The 25,251-nt window shown below is 60.0% G+C and overlaps 2 long non-coding RNA genes across 4 annotated transcripts, besides 8 other annotated features; one reads left to right on the top strand and one right to left on the bottom strand.

Annotated features, from left to right (window-relative positions):
- Positions 1–85: 85 nt before the first annotated feature.
- On the bottom strand, positions 86–14,013 carry LOC116435278 (uncharacterized). 3 transcript variants are annotated; one of them, NR_165239.1, is made up of 2 exons: positions 13,759–14,013; positions 86–1,771 (listed from the first exon to the last, which is right to left on the bottom strand). It is a non-coding gene; the product is annotated as an uncharacterized LOC116435278 (long non-coding RNA). The 3 variants fall into 3 exon arrangements; NR_165237.1 differs by lacking the exon at positions 86–1,771 and adding an exon at positions 8,641–12,194; NR_165238.1 differs by lacking the exon at positions 86–1,771 and adding an exon at positions 11,134–12,180.
- Positions 2,256–3,091: an enhancer, noted in NCBI's record as "H3K27ac-H3K4me1 hESC enhancer chr7:476367-477202 (GRCh37/hg19 assembly coordinates)". NCBI's record gives its function as "activates a minimal SCP1, AML or CMV promoter by ChIP-STARR-seq in naive and primed H9 embryonic stem cells {active_cell/tissue: H9 hESC(naive and primed)}" and the evidence as "EXISTENCE:reporter gene assay evidence [ECO:0000049][PMID:30033119]".
- Positions 2,256–4,017: a biological region, named in NCBI's record as "MED14-independent group 3 enhancer GRCh37_chr7:475441-476640".
- Positions 2,818–4,017: an enhancer, noted in NCBI's record as "MED14-independent group 3 enhancer chr7:475441-476640 (GRCh37/hg19 assembly coordinates)". NCBI's record gives its function as "activates an origin of replication core promoter dependent on BRD2, BRD4, P300/CBP and CDK7 cofactors, and independent of MED14, by STARR-seq in HCT116 cells {active_cell/tissue: HCT116}" and the evidence as "EXISTENCE:reporter gene assay evidence [ECO:0000049][PMID:35650434]".
- Positions 4,764–5,599: an enhancer, noted in NCBI's record as "H3K4me1 hESC enhancer chr7:473859-474694 (GRCh37/hg19 assembly coordinates)". NCBI's record gives its function as "activates a minimal SCP1, AML or CMV promoter by ChIP-STARR-seq in primed H9 embryonic stem cells {active_cell/tissue: H9 hESC(primed)}" and the evidence as "EXISTENCE:reporter gene assay evidence [ECO:0000049][PMID:30033119]".
- Positions 5,600–6,436: an enhancer, noted in NCBI's record as "H3K4me1 hESC enhancer chr7:473022-473858 (GRCh37/hg19 assembly coordinates)". NCBI's record gives its function as "activates a minimal SCP1, AML or CMV promoter by ChIP-STARR-seq in primed H9 embryonic stem cells {active_cell/tissue: H9 hESC(primed)}" and the evidence as "EXISTENCE:reporter gene assay evidence [ECO:0000049][PMID:30033119]".
- On the top strand, positions 7,674–12,426 carry LOC112267991 (uncharacterized). Its single transcript, NR_165236.1, has one exon. It is a non-coding gene; the product is annotated as an uncharacterized LOC112267991 (long non-coding RNA).
- Positions 13,015–13,932: an enhancer, noted in NCBI's record as "H3K27ac-H3K4me1 hESC enhancer chr7:465509-466426 (GRCh37/hg19 assembly coordinates)". NCBI's record gives its function as "activates a minimal SCP1, AML or CMV promoter by ChIP-STARR-seq in primed H9 embryonic stem cells {active_cell/tissue: H9 hESC(primed)}" and the evidence as "EXISTENCE:reporter gene assay evidence [ECO:0000049][PMID:30033119]".
- Positions 18,637–19,393: an enhancer, noted in NCBI's record as "H3K27ac-H3K4me1 hESC enhancer chr7:460048-460804 (GRCh37/hg19 assembly coordinates)". NCBI's record gives its function as "activates a minimal SCP1, AML or CMV promoter by ChIP-STARR-seq in naive H9 embryonic stem cells {active_cell/tissue: H9 hESC(naive)}" and the evidence as "EXISTENCE:reporter gene assay evidence [ECO:0000049][PMID:30033119]".
- Positions 24,119–24,667: an enhancer, noted in NCBI's record as "H3K27ac-H3K4me1 hESC enhancer chr7:454774-455322 (GRCh37/hg19 assembly coordinates)". NCBI's record gives its function as "activates a minimal SCP1, AML or CMV promoter by ChIP-STARR-seq in naive H9 embryonic stem cells {active_cell/tissue: H9 hESC(naive)}" and the evidence as "EXISTENCE:reporter gene assay evidence [ECO:0000049][PMID:30033119]".

Here is a 25,251-nt window from a genome sequence, read left to right as displayed (position 1 = left end):
CCCTGAGGCAGAGACACAGAGGGTCCCGTATCAGTCAGCGCCCTTTGGAGGGAGAGAGACAGAGACACAGACACAGGGAGATTGATTTAATGCGCTGGCCCATGTGATGGTCCAGGCTGATGAATCTGAAATCTGCAGGGCAGACCCGCAGGGGAGCAGGCTGGGAGCCCGGGCAGGATTTTATGTTGCAGTCTTGGGGCAGAAATCCTTCTCCAGGAAGCCTCGGCGTTCATCTTCAGCTGCAGCTGAGGCCCAGCCACATCTCGTGATCTGCAGCACTTGCAATTAGCCAATTGTGCGTGTCCATCACACCTGCAGCACAGCCACAGTGGCATCTGGATGGGGCTTGACCGTGCCGCTGGGCACTGCAGCCCGGCCGAGTGGACACGGGGGGGTGCCCATCACTGTGCCCACACTGTTGTTGTCCGCTGGCCATCGTGGTGGGAGTGCCAGCTGACCTCCAGCCATTGGCATCGGCAAACTGCAGCCAAGGGCTCTCCAGAGATCTAGAGGCCCTAGGAGCAGCCTGTGACCTCTGACCCGGATCTCATGACCCTTGGGTGGGAAGACTCTGAGGGTCCCGTGCTGGCCCTCTCACTGGAGCAATCCCCCATGGTGGTGACAACAGCCCTTCCCCATCTCAGCCCTCATTCCTGCGAAAGTTCCCTGGGATGGCCTCCCCATAAACCTATTTCTAGGTGACCCCAAGTTAAGGCAGTCCTGAGGGAGATGGGTCTGTGGAAGGCGTGGGAGGAGAGGGAGCTCCTGGGGTCAGGGACCGTCCCTGGCTCCATCCCAAGGGCTGCCTGGGCCCCTCCAGGAAGGGGGAGCCTCCCTCAGCCTTGCAGCTTTGGGACACTCCAGATGACCTGGAGCCACCTGCTGGGTGGAGCATGGTGCCAGCCTCTCCTGGTCTCTGAGCTCAGGGCTCTGTGCATCCATGGCCCAGAGCTAGGTCCGGCAGAGGAGAGTTTCCAAGCCTCAAGCTCAGACTGTCTCGTAGATGAAGGAGTCAACATGAGCCAGTGAAGGCAGGTGGGGCACGGCTCCAACTTTGCCACCTAAGGTGACCTGGATCCTGAGGCCGGCAGCCCGCAGGACCAGGGAGGGAGGGCGGCGGGAACGCGCAGAGAAGCGAGCTCTGGGAGCACCTGCCATGCCCTCCTGCCTCCCTGGCCAGCACGGGCTGCGGGGACACAGAGGGAGCTTGGGAATGAGGTCGTGGGGGCGGCACCTGCCCCACACACTGACTCGTCCTGGCCCTTGGTGAGTGCTCAGGGCTGGGCTCTGGACTCAGTCACGCTGGGGCCGGCTTCGCTTCCGTGCAGCTGGGGCTGGACAGAGAGGAGGACACCCACTTCTCAGCAAGCCTCTGTCTGGCCGTGTGATTCTCAGAAGGAACTGGGCTCTGGCTGGAGCAGGCTGGCGAGTGCCCATCTCGCAAGGCACCTTTCAGCCTGACCCAGGCCTCTGCCAGTGGCCGGTCTCACGTGGACCCCTGTTCCCTCCTGTGTGTTGCAGAAGCGGCCGGGCATTCAGAACAGAGCTGCTCTCGGAGCCTGACAGTGATGGATAAGCCGGGACTCTGGGTGGCTGCCGGGTGAGGGGCGAGCCTGTTTCACGCGGGCCCCGGAGAAGCTGGATGCGGTCCCCGGACTGAAGGAGGAAGTTCCGGGGGGAGCGGCTGGGCAGGTGGACGCCTCCGCTGAATCCAGCGTTTCCATGGTTATTTCATTGAGTGACCGGCATGTCTCTTTCCTCACCCCGGGTCCTGCTGAGAAAGAAAAGGCGCCTAGCACAGCCACGTCTGCCAATGGCCAGGCGGGCGCCGCCACCTGCCTCAGCGTGTGCCCATGGCGAGGCCTCCTGGAAATGGCTGGGCTGAGCAGTGCGGTTTAAAGAAAAACCCAGAGAAGAAGGCAGCCATTCCCTAGGCCCGCGTCCTTGCAGCCTGCCCCAGAGGTCACCTGCCTCCGGAATTTGATTCTTCCCGGGGGTAGCTCATTCTCCCTCCTCTCATTCATTAGCCCCTGCAGGGACAGGGCTTTCCTTCTCAGCCCTCCTGTCCTCAGCCGTAAAACAAGGTGGCTGTTCTAGGTCAGAGCTGCCCGGCAGCCTCATGCCTGGTTTTAAATCTGTTTGTGCTGCCTGAAAACATGTAAAAAAAGGTAATATTTAGTTTGAGCCTATATTTTAACTCCATCACCCAAACATTGTCATTGCAATGTGCAGTCAATGTAGAAATTGCTGGTGAGAGCTCGGTCATGAGTCGGCGCTGACTCCCTCCCACCTGTGGCTGGTCTCACCAGGACGTGCCCCAGGTGCTCCGTGGATGCAAGGGGCTGGGGGCCGCTGTGGCTGGCACAGCTCTCCACCTTCCGTGATAATCCTTGCACCTTTAATGGGCCTGGCTCAGGCTCTGAGTGGGTGCAGTGGAGGCCCCAGGTCAGAGAGAGGCAGAGACCCCCAGGCTGGAGATAGAGATGGGAGGGCCTGGATGGGGCAGGGTGGGGCCTTGGGGAGGGGTCGCCGTGGTGCACAGTGTGGGGCCCTCGGTCGGTGCACCCTGGGCTGCCTGAGGCCTGGAGGTGGGCACCGGGGTGGATCTGGCCTCTGGTTCTGTTGTGTCCACTGGGCCACATGGCCTGGGCAAGCCAGGGTCTCCAGGGGCTGGGGAGGTCCCCCTCACCCACTCTCAGGCACGGCCCCCGACTGGAGCAGGCCATGGTGGCAGAAAAGGGCGTCCACACCCTCAGATTATAGGGACTTGCATGGCAGCAGGCTCCCCGCAGACCACTGAGGGTGCTGAGACCCGGGTAGGTGGGAGAAGCTGTCCAAGCGCAGGAGGTTACGTGGTCCGGGCCACGCCAGGCCCCACCCCGGGTGCTGCTGCCTCCGGCCTTATTTCCCTCCGGCCGATCTCGGTGGTTGTGGGCGGCATCATCGCACGGACGTGCACGGGGGCCTCCAGGGCCTCACACTCCAGACGTGACCAGCAGAGACGGTTCCTGCAGCCTTGGCCCTCGGATGCCTGTGCCGGGAACAGGTGGCTTAGTGGGGCCTGGCTGTGGCCTCCTCTGCGTCCAGGCCTCCTGCCGCCCCCGCCCCTTGGCCCTCATTCTGGGGGGCGTGGGCCAAGCTCCCTGTGATCACCTCTAATGGGCAGCCCCTCCTGGAGCCCTTTCATCTGATCCACAGAGTGTTTCACAAACACTGACTCATTCACCTCCCACGGCCTCAGAGGTAACTTGGTCCATTTGGTAGGAGGGAGACTGAGCCACCTCATTGTTCAAGATTTATTGCTGGGCCACCCAGCAACTCATCCCGGCCTCTTCCCCTCGAGACCCCAGATGTAGGAATTTGGCCAGAGAAGCAAGGGGGGCGGCCCTCCCAGAGGGCCAGGTGGACGGGCCAGGCCAGGCTCTGAGCTGAGACAGCTCCTCTGTGCGTGCGGCTGCCTCTGAGCCAACGGGGCGGGGCTGCTGTTCCACACCCGGCTGTGTCCGTGCCAGACGCTTGCTCACTCATGTCCCTTTGTGTGTGCACAGCTGAATCCTCACCCGAGTCACACAAGTCTTCCAAGTAAGTTCCGTTCTTCCCCCTTCTACAGGCAAGGACACAGAGCTTCGCAGAATTCAGCTCTTTCGGCCCAGGTAGCGCAGAGACTAAGCCTGGGAGCTACCGAGATCAGGCCTCTCTGGCCCCCAGAGTCGTGCTTCTCATTTCGCGTACGCCGTCACCACAGAGCGGCATCTTGTTTACGAACTGCCAAGCATGAGGTTAGGGTGTGTAGTCAGGATCCACGGGGAACAGGCATAAGCCGAGGAGTGAAATGGGATTGTCCAAAGAGGAAGGTGATTGTAATTGCTGAATATTATAGTTCCTTCCTCTCAGTTTCCATCTCAGCTAAACTGTAATCAGACTTCGTTACAGCTTAGACAGTGTTTAAAGGGAAACGCACGGGGCCAGCGATCCCTGTGCCTGTTAGTTCCTGCTTTGGGACCTCCTGCGAGCCGAACGGGCCTTTCTGAGCTGGGGAGCATGCCCGTTCTCACCTGCCCACCTGCGTCTGCTTTGATAACCCGGACATTATCCCGGCTCTCCCCGCGCCCGCCTGTCAGTCAAGCCCTTTGTGAAGTCACTTTCGTTTAGACACTTCTCCTGCTCCGACTCAGGGTAAAAACGTGTCTTCTGTGTGACATGGAGGGAGGTGGAAATTACTACGTGCATAGAAAACTGTAGGTTACACAAATAACCTGTCACCAGAGATAGGCAGCCGAGCTTTAAATCAACTCACGGCAGCCAGGGCCTTCGTGTGCCCTGGGGCCACTCGCCCTGCACGGGGAGGGGCGCATTGCAAAATTCCACCTCCCTCCGGGTGGCCGCTATGCAGAGCTTCTGTCTGAAGCTTGTTTTCCTAACAATGTTGACATTCTTCCCCGGCTCTCTTCGGCAGGTCCCTTGCCCCAGGAAGGTGGGGGACGACCCAGCCAATCTCTCCAGAGCCCGCGGCGTGCACAGCAGAGCTCAGAAGGGCCGCTTCTGAATCCTCGAGCAGCAGTGTTCGATTTTCTGTCAATGCTGACTCCAAACGGCTGCTCTTCCCCATCCGGGTGCTGCCGGTCTCCAGCCAGCATGTGCCAGACTCGGAGGGGACAGCAGCTTGAGCTCATAAAGATACAATAATAATCGTAAGGGGCATAACAGGGGTCGGGCACGGTGGCTCACGCCTGTAATCCCAGCGCTTTGGGAGGCCGAGGCGGGCGGATCACGAGGTCAGGAGATCGAGACCATCCTGGCTAACACGGCGAAACCCCGTCTCTACTAAAAATACAAAAAACAAAATCAGCCGGGCGCGGTGGCTCACGCCTGTAATCCCAGCGCTTTGGGAGGCCGAGGCGGGTGAATCACGAGGTCAGGAGATTGAGACCATCCTGGCTAACACGGTGAAACGCCATCTCTACTAAAAATACAAAAAATTAGCCGGCCGTGGTGGCGGGCGCCTGTAGTCCCAGCTACTCGGGAGGCTGAGGCAGGAGAATGGCGTGAACCCGGAAGGCGGAACTTGCAGTGAGCCGAGATCGCACCACCGCACTCCAGCCTGGACGACAGCGAGACTCTGTCTCAAAAAAAAAAAAAAATTAAAATAAAAAAATGTTTTTTGAGACAGGGTCTTGCTCTGTCACTCAGGCTGGAGTGCAGTGGTGCGATCTCAGCTCACTACAGCCTCGACCTCCCTGGCTCAAGGGATCCTCCTGCCCCGGCCTCCCGAGTAGCTGGGACTACAGGGCCTGCGGCTACACCCGGCTAATTCTTTTATTTTTTGTAGAGAAGGGTTTCCCTAAGTTGTCCATGCTGGTCTTGAACTTCTGGGCTCAAGCGATCCTCCTGCCTCAGCCTCCCAAAGTGCTGACCTCGCAGGTGTGAGCCACTGCACGCACCCCCTTCCTTCCTTTTTCCTTTCCCCTCCTTCACTCCTTGAGCTGGACGCAGCAGCATCTGAGTAACTGTGAACTGCTGTGTGCCGGGATGTCCTGCACGGCTTTTCTTGGTGGGTTTTATGGAGTCGGTGAGAAGGATAGCGGTTGTCAGGTGGATGCCCCAGCACTGCAGGATCCAGCTGAGCCCCACCCCTGGCCCAAGGAACCCCTGGGATCCAGCCCTGTGCCGCTGCCTGGGAGCAGGGCAGCCGTGGCCGGGCAGCCTGGGCGGGCGTGTTCTCCACACTTCCAGGAGGAGGCGGCTGGAGTTACTGGCCCCATCTTTAACCTGAGAGGCTTGGAGTGGTGACGTGGCTTGCCTGGGGTCACACAGCTGGAAATGACAGGGGGCGGGGAATGGGGATCTGACATGGGGTCTGTGTGGGGTCCTCTCCCCATGTCCCACCTCGCCCTGTGCTGGCAAGGCAGGCTGAGGAAGAGTCGGCTTCTATGGGGCGACAGGCTGTGCCTCAGAGACCTTCTTCTGGGTTCCCCGTGTGGCTGCTTCAGTTTGTGTCTTTGGAACGAGGGTGGGGGCACTGCAGCCTTGGGTGGGGCTCCGGAGGGCCTGAAGACTCTGGGAGGGAAGGGAGGAGGCTTCGCCCCAAGATGCAAGATAAGGGGGGCAAAGGGGCAGGGAGAGATGGCAACCCCAGGAGGCTGTCATCAGGCACAGCTGCAGAGGCGCTCGGGAAGCTGGCAGAGCCACAGACAGACCGGGCGGGCTGCATCCTAGCAGAGGGCGTTAGCAAGGACTCTTCAGGTCCGAGTGACAGAAACCTGCTCAGACTGATTGAGGTCAAGGTGGGTATTTACAAGGTGGATATTTCTGGCTCCTACCAGAAAGTGCGGGGTGGTGGGCTTCAGGCACGGCTGGATTCAGGTGCTCCAACAGCACGATCAGGGCGTGGACTCTCCCACTTCTGGCTCTGCTTTTCTCCACCTGGGCTGCATTCCCAGGCAGGTTCCCCACACTCTGGTGGCCCTGCAGGGAGGGGCCTCTGAGTGTCCCAGTCCCAGAGTCTGAGTGACTCGGCCTGGGTCCCTGCTCACCTCTGGGACAATCACCGGGGTCTGGGCCAGCCCTGGGTGGAGGGCCCACTGGGGGCCTAGGGTGGGGGAGCCCCCAGCCACACTGACTGAGATGGAGCACTTTCCCAAAGGAAAATCAGAGTCTTAGCTGGAAGGGAAAATTGAAGATTGGCCAGCAAACACCACAGAGGGCTGAGTACCCCCCCTCTTGCTTACCTCCCGTGACAGGGAGCTCATCACGTCCGAGGACCCCTCTTGCTTACCTCCCGTGACAGGGAGCTCATCACGTCTGAGGAAACTTGTTCATGGAGCCCCTGAAGGGCAACGGCCACCCCGTGGCCTGTAGGGGCAGCTGGCGCTCACTCCCTTTGCAAGCCCAGCAGTCTGTGCTCAGCCCCTGCCCTGCAGAACGGATGATGCTTCCCAGCCCCAAGAACTCCCCGGGCCCTGGGTGGGAGGAGCTCTGGGAAACGCAGGAGGAAGATGGTCTTGGGCCTTCGTGCCTGTCTGGGAGGACCCACAGCTCCAGGGCAGCTTGGTCTGGGTGCCAGTGCAGGTCACAGCTCATGTGTGGCCTCCTGTGTCCCGAGGCTGAGCCTCACCGCCACCCACACACACCTGCCTATGATGGCTGCCCCGGCCAGTCTCCTGGTGCAGGCCCAGTCCACTGTCCCCTGTCCCTCGGACACCCCCACCTCCAGCTTCCCAGACGCATGGCCTGAGGGCTCACAGCAGCCCAGCCCCAGGACGGCGGAGCCTTGCTCTCAAGCCAATGCTGGTCCCTCCATCCATCTTCCAGCCCTGAACCCAGAACCCAGAGCCCTGAAACTTCTCCCAGCCCACCGAGTGCTGGCCATGGCCCCCACCCCCCGCCTCCGCCCCACAGCTGCTCCCAGGGGCCTGCATCCCTTTTCAACTCCGCAGCTCTCTCCCTGTCCCCGGCCCAGGCTTGTCTTTCCCCAGGACCACGGGACCAGGCGAGGCTGCCCAGTCTGGGGAAGCGGGTGCCGGCCTCCCTGGAAGGCCACAAGGCACTCGAGCTCAGGGCCAGAGATGTGTCTGGAAGCCTCTGGGGACAGGGCCAAGGCTGTCCAGCCCAGCTGCTCCTTTGTTCCAGCCCCTGCCCCCCACAGCCCCAGCCATGGGGCCGGCCTTCTCGGCAGCACTCTGCGGCCAGCTCTAGGCTGGAGGGGAACATCCATTGTGGCCACAAGGCCTCGCCCAACCTCACAGCAGCTGCCCGGCCCCACCTCCTCTTCCCTTGGTTGGGGCATTTGCTGACCGTGGCCTTTTCGGTCCAAGGTGGGAGGCCACAGGGAGCAGAGGGTCGGAGGTACAGAGCCCAGAGGCCCCCAGGACCCAGGCAAGCTGAAGCCCTCGGACAGCCCATATCCAGCCTCTTCTTTGCTTTCAGATAAGAACTTTAAAAAGAAAACATCCTACAGAAAAGAAGCTCAGCTTTTCCCCGCTGCTGGCTGAGTGGGTTTCCTAAGAGCGGGTATTTCCTCCACCCCAGCAGCGCTTTTCAGCGAGGAGCATCTCCGTCTCCACGGAGGGCAGCCTGGAATGGGGGAACGCAGTCAGGCTGACATTGCTGTGACCTCCGCGGCTCGGGGTGGGCTGCTGACCGTGACCACCGGCTCCGAGGAAGAAAGAGCCCAGATGGGGAGTGTCTGCCAATACCTGTGGTGCAAATGCTCCCACCGGGGCTGGCTTCGAGCTGCCAAGGGGACATGCTGCAGGCAGGGGCGGGCACCCTGCGGTGACACCCACGTGACCCGACCTCAGACAGACACGACCCACGACCAACCTCTGGATCCTGGAGGAGCGCACAGGGCCGCAGCGTGAGAGGCAGTGGCGCGTGCTGTGTTCAGCGCTTCTGTTTTTAGTGACTTCTTTATTTGTAAGTTCTTATGATTTAATTTGTTTTTGAGATATGGTTTTGCTCCATCACTCAGGCTGGAGGGCAGTGGCGCAACCACAGCTCACTGCAGCCTCAACCTCCTGGGCTCAAGTGATCCTCCTGTCTCAGCCTCCCGAGGAGCTGGGACCGCAGGTACACGCCACCACATCCAGCTTATTTATTTATTTATTTATTTATTTATTTATTTATTTCTGAGACAGAGTCTCGCTCTGTCACCCAGGCTGGAGTGCAGCCGCGCGATCTCGGCTCACTGAAAGCTCCGCCTCCCGGGCTCACGCCATTCTCCTGCCTCAGCCTCCCAAGTAGCTGGGACTACGGGCGCCTGCCACCACATTTGGCTAACTTTTTTGTATTTTTAGTTGAGACGGGTTTTCACCGTGTTAGCCAGGATTGTCTGTCTCCTGACCTCGTGATCCGCCTGCCTCAGCCTCCCAAAGTGCTGGGATTACAGGTGTGAGCCACCGCGCCTGGCCTATTTATTTTTTTATCTGCAGAGATGAGATCTTGCTGTGTTGCCCAGGCTGGTCTCTCACTCCTGTCCTCAAGCCATCCTCCCTCCTCGGACTCCTGGCGTGCTGGGGTTACAGCATGAGCCCCCACGCCAGGCTGATTTAATTTTAATAGTTCTGTGTATGACGGCCAGCTCACCCGATTCCAGGACATGAAGGCTCAGCTCTTAGGAGCTGGCTCTGCACACCACCTGTGTGACGGCTGCAATTCACACCAGACCCCAACAAGACCGAGGCTTTGGTCTGACCGTGAAGGCCCCGGCGAGGACAGCATCACCCTCAGCCCCAGGCAAGAGGGGACCTGTAGTTCCCCTCCAGCCCCGCTGAGGCCTGAGCTGCCTTCGCAATCCCATCCTGAGTACCTCAAGGCCCTGGGGTTCCCGAGGCTCCTGCCCCAAAGGTCCCACGAGCACCACGTGTCTTCCTCTTCCAAGTCCTCTGCCTGCGGTGCTGGGCCTGGTGTGGGGGCAGCCAAGGGCGCTCTGTGCAGGACCCGGACCCAGCATGGCCACTCGGAGTGCGGGCCCGGCATCCCGAAGCCCCCTTCCCGTGAGAGTGAAGCCGGAGGCGATGGAGGGAGGCAGGAGGCATGGCTGTGTGTCCTCGGGAAGCTGAGATTTCTAACCTTGAGTCTGAACGTCCAGGCTGGTGTGAAGTCTGTCACGGCGGGAGCACGGAGGCTACTCTGCGAGTTCCACGGGGCATCAGCCGGGGCGGTGTTATTTAACGCCAGGACGTGCAGTGTATGGGCCTCTCTTGGTCTCTGGGCCCTGCCTGCGTTAGGGCATCGGCCGGGTCGGCTGTATTTAAATGCCCATGTAGTGCCTGGGCCTCCACAGAGCTCTAGGCCCCGTCCATGACGGTGCAGGCGTGTTCTCGGTGGAAACACAGCCGGTGAAGGCGGGAGGAGGGAAGAGTGAGCTCTCCCTGCCTGAGAGTCTCCGAGGGGTCCAGACTGAGGGTTGGGGGTGCAGGAGGGGAGGCCCCAGGGCTCAGCGGATCCCAGGTTGTGCAGGGTTCAGTGGGTTTCATTGAGGAATTTGGACTCTGCCCCAGGGGTGACGGGAGCCAACAGGCAGCGGCTACCTCCTGCCTCCTCTCCGTGATCCAGGTGCTCAGAGGAGCCAGGCAGCATGGCTGAGGCCACACAGACGTGCAGGAGGGAGTGCAGAGCAGGGCCCCGTCGTGCCTGAGGATAGAAGGTGCTTCCTTCCTGGGGCAGCAGCCTCCCTGCGAGAAGGCGGCTCTCCAGGGCTGCCTGGAACGCATAACCGACGGCTTGCAATCTGCACCCTGTGATTTATTTATATGGGGTTGAAGTACTGCAGGGGTCCCGTGCTGCTGTGTCAGGATTGGGCCCACGTAGCGCGCAGACCATTTGCCTTGCATGAAAAATGCATGATGGCGTCGGGAAGCCGCTGGGAAGTTTCGCGACGCCCGTGCAGGGGTCCTCGCACGGCCGACTGGCTGTCAGCGCCCCGGTCCTGCCGCCCATGTTGCCAATGGATGAGCCAAATGTCCCTCGTGCGAGGGGCCTTGTAGATCCTGCAGACACCGCGCCTCTCACCAGGGAGTAAGGGAATGGTCTTCCCCTGGGACCCACGAGTTCATCCTCAGCTCCACCTTCACCCACAGGCCACGGGGAAACCGCCCGGTGCAGGGGGCTCAGCACACCACCAAGAGCCTTTTAAAAAGGCTTTGGGTAACAGGGAGGAAGAAAGCCCAGTTTTAAACACCAAGTGTGGTCTGCGGGAACTTCCTAGGGCAGCCTGTCCAGTGGGAGTGTCTGTGGTGATGGGAATGCCCGTGTCTGTGTGAGCCACGTGGTGGTCACTGGTCACATGTGGAGACGGGAATGCCCGTGTCTGTGTGAGCCACGCGGTGGGTCACTGGTCACATGTGGAGACGGGAATCCTTGTGTCTGTGTGAGCCACGCGGTGGTCACTGGTCACACGTGGCGGGAATGCCCGTGTCTGTGTGAGCCACGTGGTGGTCACTGGTCACGTGTGGCTGCTGAGCCCTTGAAATGTGGCTCGTACAGTTGAGGAAGTGTGGCCTGTGCAGTTGAGGAGCCGGCTTTTAAATTTTATTTAATTTTAATGAATTTAAGTGTAAACATAAATAGCTACCATATCGGACCATGTCTAGGTTGATGACATATTGTCTTTTTTTTTTGGCTTTTTAAAGTGGTTGTATCGTTATTATTATTTAATTAAATCAATTAATTTTTGAGACAGGGCCTTGCTGTGTCGCCCAGGCTGCAGTGCAGGGGGGTGATCACAGCTCACTGCAGCCTCAACTTCCCATGCTCAAGCCGTCCTCCCACCTTAGCCTCCCGAGTACCTGGGACTACAGGCACGTGCCACCACGCATGGCTAATCTTGTACTTTTTGTAGACATGAGGTCTCGCTATGTTGCCCAGGCCGGTCTTGAACTCCTAGGCTCAACTCATCTTCCTGTCTTGGCTTCTTGAAGTGTTGGGATTACAGGCGTGAGCCACCTGTGCCTGGCCTATTTTTTATTTGTAAATATAAGGGGTACAAGTGCAGTTACATGGAAACACTGTGTAGTGGTGAAGTCGGGGCTGTCAGTGTAGCCATCACCAGAGAGCGTACATCAAACGCACCGGGAACTTTCTCATCCCTCGCCCCACCCTCCTGAGCATCCACGGGTGAGTGTTCCCCACTCTGTGTCCACGTGCACACATCATTTAGCTCCCACCTGTAAGTGAGGACACGTGCTCTTTGTCCTTCTGTTTCTGAACTGTTTGACTCAGCACTATGTTCTCCCGTTCCATCCACGTTCCTGCAAAGGGCACAATTTTACACTTTTTCATGGCTGAATAGTACTCCATCGTGTATATGCACCACATTCTCTTTCTCCAGCCGTCTGTTGGTGGAGCCCTAGGCTGATTCCGTGTCTTTGCTGTTGTGAATGGTGCTGTGATGGACGTGCACGTGCAGGTGTCTTTTTGATGTAATCATTTCCTTCGAGTAGCTGCCCGGCAGTGGGATTGCTGGATGAGTTCTGTTTTCAGTTCTTTGATAAATCTCTTTACTGGGGCAGTGGGATTGCTGGATGAGTTCTGTTTTCAGTTCTTTGATAAATCTCTTTACTGTGCTCCACAGGGGCTGACAATATTCCCGGTGAGGGTTTGGGAGACGCAGGTGTGTGCACGTCTCAGAACTCATCTCACGGAACTGTTAAGATCTGTGAATTCCACTGTAAATTTTACCTAAAACAAGAGAACTGTTGACAGATATTGGATTCTAGTTAATACTTCTGAAATATTTGTATTGAAATATACTGTTGTCTACAACTTCCTGTGAAATGCATCCAATAAAATAAGATGGGTTGACGGAGGGGTGGGGGGACGGAGAGGTGACTGGGTCTATGGTGAAGAAATGAGCCAGTGTTGATCGTAGAATCCAGGCAGAGGTGCCGGGCTTCACAATAAAGTGCTGAAGAAGCTCCAAATACAGTCAGGGATGGAGTGTTCTCTTATTACTCTGGGCGGGTCATGGTGTAAGTTTCCCCCATTAGGAGAATCAGAAAGCAATGGGAGTGGGTGGTGGGGAGTGGAACTGCCTCTCGCCAGCTCCTGGGAGCCACCATGCTCTCTTCTGCCAGTGCCATGTTCAGTGACATCACAGGGGCTGCATGAATATGGCTGTGGCAGCAGCGTTTACACCACGGAAATTGGCAGTCGCTGCGAGTCAGGGTCTTCCTGGGTTGCTGATTGTTAGACGTTTGCCAGCACAGCACGGGGAGTGGCAGGGAGGCACTGCCTTATCCCCCAGGGAGAGTCCCTGAGGACAGGGCGGCATCGACTCAGCTATGCCACCTGCACCCAGGGGAGTCTCTGAGGACAGGGCAGCCTCGACTGGGTTGTGCCGCCTGCACTCAGGGAGAGTCTCTGAGGCCAGGGCAGCATCAACTCTGCTGTGCCTCCTGCACCCAGCACAAGTCCTGGCCCAGAGTGAGTGCCCGGCCTTCGTGTGTGGACTTGCTGTGGAAACAGGACGGGTGCAGGACAGCGAGTGTTGGTGGAGGGTGGAGGGGAGGGGAGGTTGGAGGGGAGGGGAGGTTGGAGGGGAGGGGAGGGTGGAGGGGAGGGGAGGGTGGAGGGGAGGGGAGGGTGGAGGGGAGGGGAAGGGAGGGGAGGGGAGGAGAGGGTGGGTCCAGACACCTCTTATATTTCCAAGCCTGGAACTGAGGTGCCCCTCCTTCTGCCTTCTCCACCCCTACAGGAGCCGTGCTTGTTCCTGGGGCAGCTCAGTGTGGCTTCTGAGCCCCAAACCCATCGGCTGGACGGCCCACGAAGGGCCAGTCATTCATCAGATGGCTCAGGGCCATTTGCAAATCGGGTCGCCACCCTCTAGAGTTTGTCTCCTCCTCAGCGGGCCCAGCAAGGGCCTTCCTCGGCTACACAGGTACAGAGGCAGGTGGCCAAACTCCGGCCCCGTGAGGGGCCCTCCCCACCTGGTCTGGGGGCCCAGCCCCTCCCCGTGTCCTCACATGAGCAGCAGCAGGACAATCTCTGCCTCCAGGGACCGACCTCCCTCCCGCGGAGCATTTAGAACAAGCCCTGGGCGTGGGAATGCATCCCTGGGCTTAGTTCCCGAGCAGGCTTGGGGGGGGAGTGGCCCCGTCTGCCTTGACCAGAGGCCCAGTGGCTTTTCAGTTCACACTATCGCACACGCACACACACACACAGGCACACACACGCACACCCTCGAACACACACACGCACACACCACGTTTAGATAAAATGGGTTCACGGCCGTTCTGTTCTGCAACTTGTTAATCGCACCTTTTCGACTCTTGATGTCCTGCTGTCCACACGCAGATGTACCCGATGCTGCAGGGTGCCCCACGGCGCTCCACACCCCTCGCCCGGTCCCCAGGTGTGCGGGCCCCATGCTGTCCACCTGCGGGCTCCTGCCCGATGACAGACAGGCACCTGCACCTCAGAAGCATCCGCCCTGGGCTGTGCCTTTTTCTTTCATCTGCATGGGGCTGGCTGCCACTGGGCACTGGTGCTGTCTGTCGGGTGGGCTGAGCGGCTACAAGCTGGGTCTGACATGTGCATCATTGCCGGTGTATGAGGTCAGGCGTCTGGTCACCGACGGACGGCCTCCCTGCGTGTCCTTCTCTGGGAATCGCCTGCTCCCACCCTTTGAGAGAAGCATGCCTTCCACGTTACACAAATGTTCTTCCCGCTCCGGCCCTGCCCTCCCCAGCAACGGGACACAGGCCGGTGCTGAATAAGCCCTTGTTGGCCAGGGCTGGGCACACAGTGAAAGGGGTTTGTGAACCGAGCCAGGGCCGAGAAGAAAGCAGCGGCCGCCCCTGGGGAGCGGGGACCGGGCCGGGGGCTCTGTGCCAGGGCACGCTGAGTCACGGGGCAGGGGAAGCTCCAAGGGGCCGCTCCCATCCCATGGACGGCCTCGCTGGCCAGGGTGCCTATCCTTGCAGGGCCTCAGTTTCCCAGTGGGCAGGTTCCCGTCCATTGCCCTGGGGTCAGGCTGGCTCACGTGCCCTGAGGGACGTCCCCTGGGGCCTGCCCTGCCAAACTCCCCGCCAACCGGATGCACCCACTGTGGGGATATTTTCCACCAGGCGGGAGGCCTGATGTGTGTGGGGGGGGCTGCTTCCAAGCCCCAAGGGTGTTCCCCATCCCTGACCCCCTCCCTCAAAGTCAAGGAGCAGCATCCAGATACACGGGGTCCACGCAGAGACAGATGGGCCCTGCCCACCTGGCAGCTGAACGCCCTCAGCAGGATTGCCTTCTGCTGACAGCAGGTGCTGACGTGCACCCAGGTTCCCTGACACCACCTGTCAGCAGCCTCGGTGCAAAGACCAGTCTCTGGCACAGACACCTTGCCTCCTCCCAGGCCCCCCTTCTCCCCTCCCAGCCCCGAGCCCATGAGCCCACCAGGAAGGAGGTAGGAGGGAGAAGGCTGACCTCCACTTCCTGGGGTGACTCCTGGCTGGAGCAGAGCCTCAGTGGGGCAGAGGCCTTGGTGTCTCCAGCCCATGTGCCCACCCCAGCCCAGCTCCCTCCTTCTGAGGCCCCTGGGGTAGGATGTCCAGTGCCGGCTGCCCATGGGGCTGCAGGTCTGGGCTGCTTCTCCTAGAACTCAGGGTCTTGCAGCTGTGCTGGAGAGAGTTCAGCCTGAGTCCCATGGGTCCGGGTAGGGCAGAGCACATTCTTGGGCTCCTTCCCCAGGGCCCTCCACATGCCTGATCCTAAGGGCGGTGTAGACAGCGAGAAAGGAAGTGTGTTCTCTGGGGGGTGGAGTGTGGGCATGGCGTCACTGGCCACCGTGCATGCCAGGAGGAGGTTGAGGGGCATCCTGCAGGGCGGGATGGGCAGGGGTGGGCGGCTCCCGATGCTGGGTCTCTCTGGGCTGCAAGTGAAGGAAACTCCCTCCATCTCAGCGAGAACGCATGGGTCACAGGGCTGCAAAGTCTGGGGGAACGTGCGGCTTCAGGTCTGGTCTGATCCAGGGACTTGGACGCTCAGCCACGGTTGCACCTGCCTCCCTCTCTGTCCTGCTGCCCTCTGGGATGGTTTCTGCTGCAGGGAGGCACCCACATTCCACGTGTAAAGAGGTGTGACCTCCTTCACCCCTGCCAGGCTTAAAGATGTGCAGCTCTCCCAGTGTTTCTTGAGGACAGCCTGGGCAGTGTGTGTGGGTCCCCAGGGCCTCCTGCTCACTGTTGGCCATCACTGGTCCTCTCGTAGGCCGGATCTGTGAAGGTGCCCACCTGAGATGGAGCAGGGTTGGTCCCCCTAGACACAAGGATGAGAGGTCGAGGAGGGTCCCAGACGGAAGCCGGGGGCCAGGCAGGGGGTGTGTTCTGGGCCCAGAGTGGCCACACAGCCCCCAATGGGGCCATCTCCACATGGAGTTTGTGGGACCTCGTCTTAGTCCCTCCCGGCTGCTGGAACAGAAAACTCTGCACCAGGCAGCTCATAAGCGGCCGAAATTCATCCCTCACAGCTCCAGAGGCTGGAAGTGGACACCAGGCGGCGGCAGGTTCAGCGTCTGCTGAGGGCTTCCTGGGTCATATATGGTGCCTTCTGGCTGTGTCCTTACATGGGACAGGGGTGAGGAAGCTCTTGGAGCCCTCCTTTGTAAGGGCACTAACCCATCCACGGGGCTTCACCTCATCGCTTCCCCAAGGCCCCGCTCCAAACACCAACACCTTAGGAGTGAGGATTTCAGAGCAGGAGTTTGGGGCACAAACATTCTGTCCATAGCCCCCAGGACCCTCGGTGAGTGGTCTGCGTGGCCTTCTCAGGGGTGGACGGCCTTGTTCCTCGGCTTGTCGTGGAGGCCACAGTGCAGTGCCCGAAGTCTCCTCCAGATCTCCTAAGAGAAGAGAGAGACGCCCCCACCCCTTCGTGCTTCTCCTAAAATTCAAGGAGGGTCTGGAGGACCCTTAATCCCAGCCTGAAACCTGGCCTGGGCGTTCCGTCCCCGGTGCCACACCCCTCACCCTGAAAGCTCCCAGCAGCCTCAGTGGGTGCCCCTTCCTCACTAGGCCTGGGGCGCCCGGCCCTCTGGGGACACTGGGCCTGCGGGGGTCTTGGGGTGGACACGATGCTTTCTTATTCCCTCGAAGATAAGCCGGCCTGAGCAGGGGGTGCGGTGCATAGGGCGGGGACCCCTGGAACCAACACCCGGGTTCCATCCGATGCTGGGCGTGTTGGGGGAGTCTCGGGGGTCTCCGTCTGATGCTGGGAGTGTTGGGGGAGTCTCGGGGGTCTCCGTCCGATGCTGGGCATATTGGGGGAGTCTTGGAGGTCTCCGGCCTCAGTGGCTGCATCTGTCACATGGGAAGGCCGCAGAGTGCCTGGTTCCTGGGTTCCTGAGCCTCAGATGAGCTCGGATTTATAAAGAGCTGGAAGAGGCCTGGCTCCCGGTCGAAGCCCAGCAGGTGTTTGTCCAACAGGGTCAGACGATGCGGCCCCGGAGGCCGGCAGGCTTTCCCCTCTGGGCAGGTGGCAAGAAGCTGCCTCCGTTCACAAAGCTCCAAGCTCTCCTATTCCTTCCCCCAAGCCCGAGCTTAGTTGAGTGGAGGGTGAGGGGAGTGTCAGGCACGCAGCCCCTCGTGGGAGCTTCCCCTGCCCCGCAGGCTGCGCGGTGTCTGAGAAGGAATCCTCTGCCGTGGGCAGGTGTGCCCAGCACCCGGACCCTGCCCGGACCAGCTGTCCTGCACCCACGTCCGCCTGCAGGACCCTGCAGCCTGTGGAGGGAACCCTTTGGCCGCGGTGGGGTCCTGAGCTCCCTCATTCCCCCCACAGGGGCTCAGCTTTCCTTTCTCTGACCGCCTTTCCCTAAATTAACTGTTTTTGGCATGGGGTCCTCTCCCCACGACTCGCCTTAGGCTCCCACCATCACCCCCCCCCAGCACTTCTTCAGCCTTGGTGTTGTAAAGACCCCAAAGTGTACAGCTGGGGTCTTGCTTCCAAGGCAGCTGCACGGGACCCTTCCTATCCAGGGCTTAGGGTCCCCAACGCTCAGGGTGGCCCGTCCTCCCCAGAGCATCTGTGTCCACTGGGAAAGAGGAGGCGGTGGCTCTGGTCACACCAGGAAGCCTCTGGTGGGCATGGCCGGGCCCTGTACATGGGCCTGCAGGTCGTGTCCTGCAAGCAGGGCCCTGGCCGTGATGGACAGACAGGAAGGACCTCAGGAGGGCTCAAAGGGGGCTGGGGCTGCCCCTGTCCTGATCCTGGGCACCGCGCCTGATGACCACAGCTCCTGGGACAGGGAGGGCCGTCCCCGGGCTGCAGAGACTGAGGCTGGCCTGCGGACTGTGGATTCATGGGGCCTGGCTCTCTCTTAGTATGAGTAGGGTCTTCTCCCAGCCAGAGGCCGCCAGCGGCTCCCGGGGCCCTTTAAGAGAAGGCGGGTGGGCGGGACGCGCAGGCTGTCATCCAGGTGCACAGTGGGGAGCATCGTTTCCAGGTGCACGGTGGGGAGGGGGAGCATCGTTTCCTCGTGAGCTGGTGGGCGGGACTCGAAGGTTGTCGTCCAGGTGCATGTTGGGGAGCGTCGTTTCCGGGTGCACGGTGGGGAGCGTAGTTTCCAGGTGCATGTTGGGGAGCGTCGTTTCCAGGTGCACGGCAGGGAGCATCGTTTCCGGGTGCACGGTGGGGAGCGTCGTTTCCGGGTGCACGGTGGGGAGCGTAATTTCCAGGTGCATGTTGGGGAGCGTCGTTTCCAGGTGCACGGCAGGGAGCATCGTTTCCGGGTGCACGGTGGGGAGCATCGTTTCCGGGTGCACGGTGGGGAGCGTTGTTTCCGGGTGCATGTTGGGGAGCGTCGTTTCCAGGTGCACCGTGCGGAGCATCGTTTCCTCGTGAGCTGGTTGTAGGTTGGTCACCACTCGGAGGCCCTTAGGTCCCTGCAGGCAGGGGCCGTGGGGGCCCCTTTGTGGCTGTGTCAGGACAGCCTTGCATCTGGGTCCCACCGCTTGGTGTTTCTTGATGGGGACAGGGGAGCTGTTCTTGGGCCAGGCTGCATAACGTGGCCCCCTGACCTTCACTGTGGAGTCACTGAGGTTGGAGGGGTGGGACGGGGGAGAGTGGGCGGGGGGCTTGTGCCCAGGGCTGCTGCTCCCCGGAGCCCCTGCAGAGAAGCCCCTGCACTGTCCGTCTGCCTCAGGGGCCTGGGCCAGTGCTCCTGGAGGAGGGCCTGGGTGCAGAAATGCTCACACAGACCTTCTGCCACTGTGAACTGCTCAGGGCCCCATCCTGGCTGTGTCCCCCACCCCTTTTGAAGGGGAAGGCCAGCCTGGAGCTGGCTGGAGGCCGTGGCTCCTGGGTTCCTCTGTGTCGGGTTTTTCACAATGTCGGGCAGTACTTCCAAAGCAGAAACTCAGGACAAACACCAAGGGCTCCACGGTATCCTGCAGGAGCTTGGGAAACAGCGAGTTTTTGAGGGGTGGAGGCCCAGCCTGCCCTCGGAAGTAGCCGCTGAGATAGTGGGCCTCCTCTACCAGCCACTGGCAGGGACACAGGAAGCACCCTCCATCTTTAGAGCTGCAGTGAGGGGTGGGCAGCGGCCCCTTGGGCGGGGGGCACTGATCATAGACCCAGACAGTGGTGGGCAGCCCATCTGTGCTGCCTGGGCCCGCTTGTCAGGCCCCGGGGTCTTCAGGTGCCTGTCAGGATTGACACTGCTGGTCTCATCAAAGGGGATGCCCTGGCCTTCCAGAGGGAGGGCCCAGGGATGGGTCTCTGGGGGTTCCTGCAGCTCTCACCTCTGTCCTTTGATAGCCATCAGAGATGGCCAGGCCTGGGGCCACCAGGGGTGACTGGGGGGAGCTGGGACTGAGACGGCTGCGGAGGTTTTGCCTGCCCTGGGCGAGGCTGCAGGGGTGACTGGGGGGAGGTGGGACTGAGACGGCTGCGGAGGTTTTGCCTGCCCTGGGCGAGGCTGCAGGGGTGACTGGGGGGAGGTGGGACTGAGACGGCTGCGGAGGTTTTGCCTGCCCTGGGCGAGGCTGCAGGGGTGACTGGGGGGAGGTGGGACTGAGACGGCTGCGGAGGTTTTGCCTGCCCTGGGCGAGGCTGCAGGGGTGACTGGGGGGAGGTGGGACTGAGACGGCTGCGGAGGTTTTGCCTGCCCTGGGCGAGGCTGCAGGGGTGACTGGGGGGAGCTGGGACTGAGACGGCTGCGGAGGTTTTGCCTGCCCTGGGCGAGGCTGCAGGGGTGACTGGGGGGAGGTGGGACTGAGACGGCTGCAGAGGTTTTGCCTGCCCTGGGCGAGGCTGCAGGGGTGACTGGGGGGAGCTGGGACTGAGACGGCTGCAGAGGTTTTGCCTGCCCTGGGCGAGGCTGCAGGGGTGACTGGGGGGAGGTGGGACTGAGACGGCTGCGGAGGTTTTGCCTGCCCTGGGCGAGGCTGCAGGGGTGACTGGGGGGAGCTGGGACTGAGACGGCTGCAGAGGTTTTGCCTGCCCTGGGCGAGGCTGCAGGGGTGACTGGGGGGAGGTGGGACTGAGACGGCTGCAGAGGTTTTGCCTGCCCTGGGCGAGGCTGCAGGGGTGACTGGGGGGAGCTGGGACTGAGACGGCTGCGGAGGTTTTGCCTGCCCTGGGCGAGGCTGCAGGGGTGACTGGGAAGAGCTGGGACTGAGACGGCTTCGAAGGTTTTGCCTGCCCTGGGTGAGGCTGCAGGGGTGACTGAGGGGAGCTGGGACTGAGAGGGCTGAGGAGGTTTTGCCTGTCCTGGGCAGGGCTGCATCTTCAGTCCCAGGGCCCCGGACACCCCAGGCTTGTCCGTGGGATGGTGATGGGAAGGGCTGTTCTGGGGCTACTGGAAGTTAAGACAGGAACTGACGTGGAGAGAGCCTCCGGGCCTCCAACTTCCAGAGTCAGCTCCTGCAGACCCTCCCAGGCCACGCGCCTGGCCCAGAGCCTTCCCGCTCACTCCTGGCTGCCCCTCCAGGCCTGGACTTGAGCTTCAGACAGGGGCAGGATTCCAGGGGGATGGAGCCAAGGGTTCCCTGGACAAAACGGAGTTGCCTCTGGCCAACTGGGATGCGATTCCAGAAAAACATCTTGCTCTCCTGGCCATCCTGGCTGGACTGCCCACATGGCCTCCTACAGACTGGGGGTGGGGAGGGAAGGTGTCAGCAAGGACCTTTCCTGCCAAGACCAGAAGAGGCCAAGCGGGCAGAGAGAGCACTTCTGTCCTGGAATCAAGGATTGAGGCCAAGGCTGACAGCCGGCTCAGCCCAAAGTCACATCAAGGTGAAGGAGGAGAACTGCTGTGTGCTCATCCCTGAAATGGGAATAAAAACTGAGTCTTTTTTACTAAATCTCAGTAAAATAATTATTCACAATAACAAGCCCATGACACATTGACATAAATAATATTTTTAAAGAAAAAACTATATTCTCCACAGTACAAAATAAATAGCATTGTTTTACATTTTTGCAAATTTCTCTAATGTTTGAACTTGCAAGAGAGCAGCTGGATTCTCGTATCCGCGTTTGCATTAGACCAATGAGAAAATGAGAGCCAGAAGGACAAATGACAGCTTATGCACATGATGACTTGGACACCATGGATCCCCTGAAAGGGTCTCGGGATGCCTCAAGGGTCCCCAGGTTACACTTAGAGAACTGATGATGTAAGATATTTGATTACACCAAAGAAGGCAGGAAAGAAGACGAAGAAAAATCAGAAGAACAAAAATATGTATGATACAGATAGGAAACAAGTAGCAAAATGACACACTTAAATTCAACTATTTTGATATGTACAATAAACGTAAATGGACTAAACCCTGCTGCCCTGCCAGCCCTTTGGGGAAGGGAGGCACCTCCAGCAGTGGAATGTCAGGCACCCTGGTGTGTGGCTGGAGACAACATCTTTAGGAAAACATGCTTTCCCCACTGTTTTTTACCTCAAATGTATGTTGAGCCCTTATATGCTGGGCCCTGTACAGGCCTTGGGGAGCTAAAGATGATTCAAACATTGTCTCCACTCGAGGACTCAGGGTCTAGGGGATTATAAGCTGGGCTCAGAGACCCTCTTCCTTCCAAGCACTAGTGATATTTGTTCAACATCTTCCCCATGCGTCTCGCGTAAGTCTCTTTGCAACCACACTGAGAGCTGGACCTCTGGGTTTTTATCCTGTCTCAGACAGTGCACAGGTGTGAAAACAGGCTCACCTGGATCATCAGCCAGCATTCGATGAGGGTCTAATTCAGTAGAGGTGGGTCACAGGGTTTGTCTAGAGCATCTCGCATGCTCTGTTTTACAGATGAAAAACTGAGGCCCAGGGGCGGGGGTGAGAGACCCAAAAGGGGAGGCTGAACGGAGGCAGCGAGCTCAGGCCCTCTCAGCTTGAGGACACTGCCTGTCTCACATGTGAGTCCTCAGGATGCTGTTTTGGAAGTGTCTCGTCAATCAGAACACCAGGTTGTTACAAGACTGTGCCCTGGGGAGGGCACAACACTCCTGAGTCAGTGTCTACCCCTAACCTGGCCGAGAGGCTCAGCTCGCTCACCTCCTAGGTTTGTGGCTGAGTTCAGCGGCTGGGCCTGTTTCCTCATCTTAGAATGGGTATAGGTGACCCGTCAGATGACTGCTGGGAGGATCGTGGGAGCAGGGGAGGGTCCAGGATGGGGACTGGGCCTGCTGGGCGAGGTTGGGCTCTGAGGCTGGCCTGCACCTGGCGGACAGGTAAGGGCTGAAGCCCAGGGGATGCTGGGTGAGGACTTTATGGGTTCTCACAAAATGACCTTTGCAGCCTGCGTTGTGGTTCAGTCCTTGGAGCCAGTCTGAGGCCCGCATCACTCCAGGGCTATATTTCAGCAGTGGCCGCTGGCTGCTTCTGAAACCAGAGGCACCGGGCCAGCTCAGGGGCTTCCTGTTGATTTCAGGTTGGCTCAGGGGCCCGGGGAGCGAACCCCAGGGGCTCTGACTTGCCACAAAGATAGCTGAGCAAGCCAGGAGCTGGGGGGCAATGGGGAGCCCACAGGCCCCACGGGACCCCACTCCTGCCTCTTCCCACCCCCCCGGCACCACCCAGGGCCTTGCACCCTCAGAACAACCCATTCTGCAGTTTCCCAAAAACCCTGGAGATGGCCTCGGCGGTCCGGTCCCCCGGGCAGTGACCTGCCACTGCGCTGGACACCACACCACGGAGTAAGGCGGCTCCGGCGGGGAATCTGGCTTGATGCCATCTCAGTGCTTAAGATCAGCATCTTCCCAGTAGTCAACCTAAACTAGGACTTTTCATCAGCTACCTTCTTCCAACCAAAATGATTTTTCTGGAGACAGGGTCTGGCTCTGCCACCCAGGCTGGAGTGCAGTGGTGTGACCTTGGTACACTGCAGCCTCAACCTCCTGGGCTTGAGTGATCTTCCCATCTCAGCCTCCCGAGTAGCTGGGGCTACAGGTGCACAACACCACGCCCAGCTAATTTTTCTATTTTTTACAGAGGTGGGGTCTCACCATATTGTCCTGGCTTTAAAATGATTTTGACCATCATTTTCCTTTTCCCTTTAGTGCTCACTACCCTCTGAGGCCAGGCCTCAGTTCTAATAGTTCTAATATCCTTTACACCCCCCCGCTTTTTTTTTTTAATAAAACATCGCATGAGAAAGAGGGCAAGAACTCTCCAGGCGGGCATGGGTTTTGAGGTGCTCGGCTTTGAGGGGGTTAGGGTGACTCTGTGGGGGCTTTGCCAGAACACAGGGGTGGACAGGGGTGTCTTTGCCAAGCGGACACTGTGAGGTCTCCTGGGGAGGCTGTTGGTTTTCCCTGGACAGGTTCCCGGTCTCTGCCTCCACGCTGAGAGCACAGGTGCAGGTGAGGCCCAGCCCCGTGGTGGGCAGGCTGCTCCCTGCGCCCCTCTCAGCCTCGGGGCCCCAGTGCCTCCTCTCCCTCTCTGCCTCTGTGGCATGAACGTCTGGAGTCTCTGCTCCTGGGCAGCCTGCGGGCCCCGCTGAGTGTCTGGGAACGTTTTCCTGCCTCCCTGGCGTCCCCGACGTGTGTCTCCTTGTGAAAGTCGGGGTCTGGCCCGGGATCGGCGTGCAGTTCCCTCACTGATCTCTGCTCTGTCTTCTCTCCCCTGCTTGGTGCCCCTCGAGAGCAGACCCACCCTGTGGGACCCACCTCTGTGTCCCCAACACCAGCATGAGGAGTTTCAGGAAGGCGCCAGGCCCTCTGAGCTCCCGGCGGCTCGGCAGCTCCTTGGCTAGCCACGGCGTCGCTGCAGTCTTCCCCCAGCGTTTGCCCCGCGTGCCTGTGTCCAAAGCTCCCGTTTGTGAGGACACGTGTCATGCCGGGTTAGGGCCTCTCTGATGACCTCATCTTAACTTAATCACCTCTGTGAAGGCCTCTTCTCCAGGTAAGACCAGATTCTACAGTGCTGGAGCCAGGACTCAGTGCATCTTTTTGGGGGACACAATTCACTCCTCACAGCCGGCTGGTGCCTCTCTCTGACCCCCACTCCCCTCCTCCCACAATTGCTGAAGGTCTCATCCCATCCCGCCCACAGGGCCCCGCTTCCCTGGACGGTACCGCAGGCCGCGGCCCCCGTGAGCTGACTGCGTGACCCAGGGTGAGCCTGGAGGACACCTCAGGCTGCTGTCCCCACGAACTGGCCGCATGACCCAGGGTGAGCCTAGAGGACTCTGCAGGCCACGGGCCCCGCGAACTGGCCGCGTGACCCAGGGTGAGCCTGGAAGGCACCGCAGGCTGCTGTCCCTGCAAACTGGCCCTGTGACCCAGGGTGAGCCTGGAGGACTCCGCAGGCCACGGGCCCCGTGAGTTGGCCCTGTCACCCAGGCTGAGCCTGGAGGGCACCGCAGGCCGCATCCCCCGTGAGCTGGCCCTGTCACCCAGGCTGAGCCTGGAGGGCACCACAGGCCGCGTCCCCTGCAAGCTGGCCGTGTGACCCAGGGTGAGCCGCACAACCTCTCCATGCCTTGGTTTCCCTTCTGTGAAGTGAGGACGAAAACAGATGCCAGTGCCGGGTTATATAACATGAGGACTCAGGACAGGGCAGGCGCCAGGAATCCGGAGCCTTTAGAGCACGAGGCCTGTTCCGGGGGGAGAGGAGATCCCTTTACCCAGCATGAGGCCTGTTCCAGGGAGAGGGGATCCCCGTTTTCAGGGTGTGCTCACTCCCTCCCAGCCTCAGTGTCTCAGCGACACTCATGGGGTCAGGAACACTCAAGTCACGTTTGCTTTCCCTGCCTGGCTACAAAGTGACTGGGGTCCCCTTTGTCTGTGGAAAGTGGCAAATCAGCTCCTTTCACACCAGGGCTCTGGCCAGGGGTGACAGGTGGAAGCCCCACCCATGTCTCACACATGGGGTGGTGGGTGGCCCAGGTGCTTCATGGTGATGATGAGATGATGGTGACGGTGACAACAGTGGGGTAGGAGGAAGAGGAGGAAGGGGAGTAGGGGGAGGAGGAGGAAGGGGAGTACGGAGAGGACGGGGGAGGAAGGAGGAAGGGAAGAGAAGGGGAGGAGGGAGGAAGCGGAAGAGAGGGAGGGGGAAGAAAAAAGGAGGAGGGGGAAAGAAGAGGGACGGAGAGAAGGATAGAGGATGAGGGGAAGGAAGGAGGAAGAGGGGGAGGAGGGAGGAAGAGGGGGAGGGAAGAGGAGGAGGGGGAGGAGGGAGGAGGGGGAGGAGGGAGGATGGAGAGGAGGGAGGAGGGGGAGGAGGGAGGAGGGGGAGGAGGGGAAGGAGGAGAAGGAGGGAGAGGATCAAGGAGGAGGGGGAGGAGGGAGGAGGGGGAGGAGGGAGGAGGGGGAGGAGG

The sequence above is a fragment of the Homo sapiens genome, chromosome 7 (genome assembly GCF_000001405.40).
Source record: "Homo sapiens chromosome 7, GRCh38.p14 Primary Assembly".
In the NCBI taxonomy this organism is placed as follows: domain Eukaryota; kingdom Metazoa; phylum Chordata; class Mammalia; order Primates; family Hominidae; genus Homo; species Homo sapiens.
Note: the sequence above shows the minus strand (reverse complement) of the source record. Positions and strands in the feature narration are given on the sequence as shown.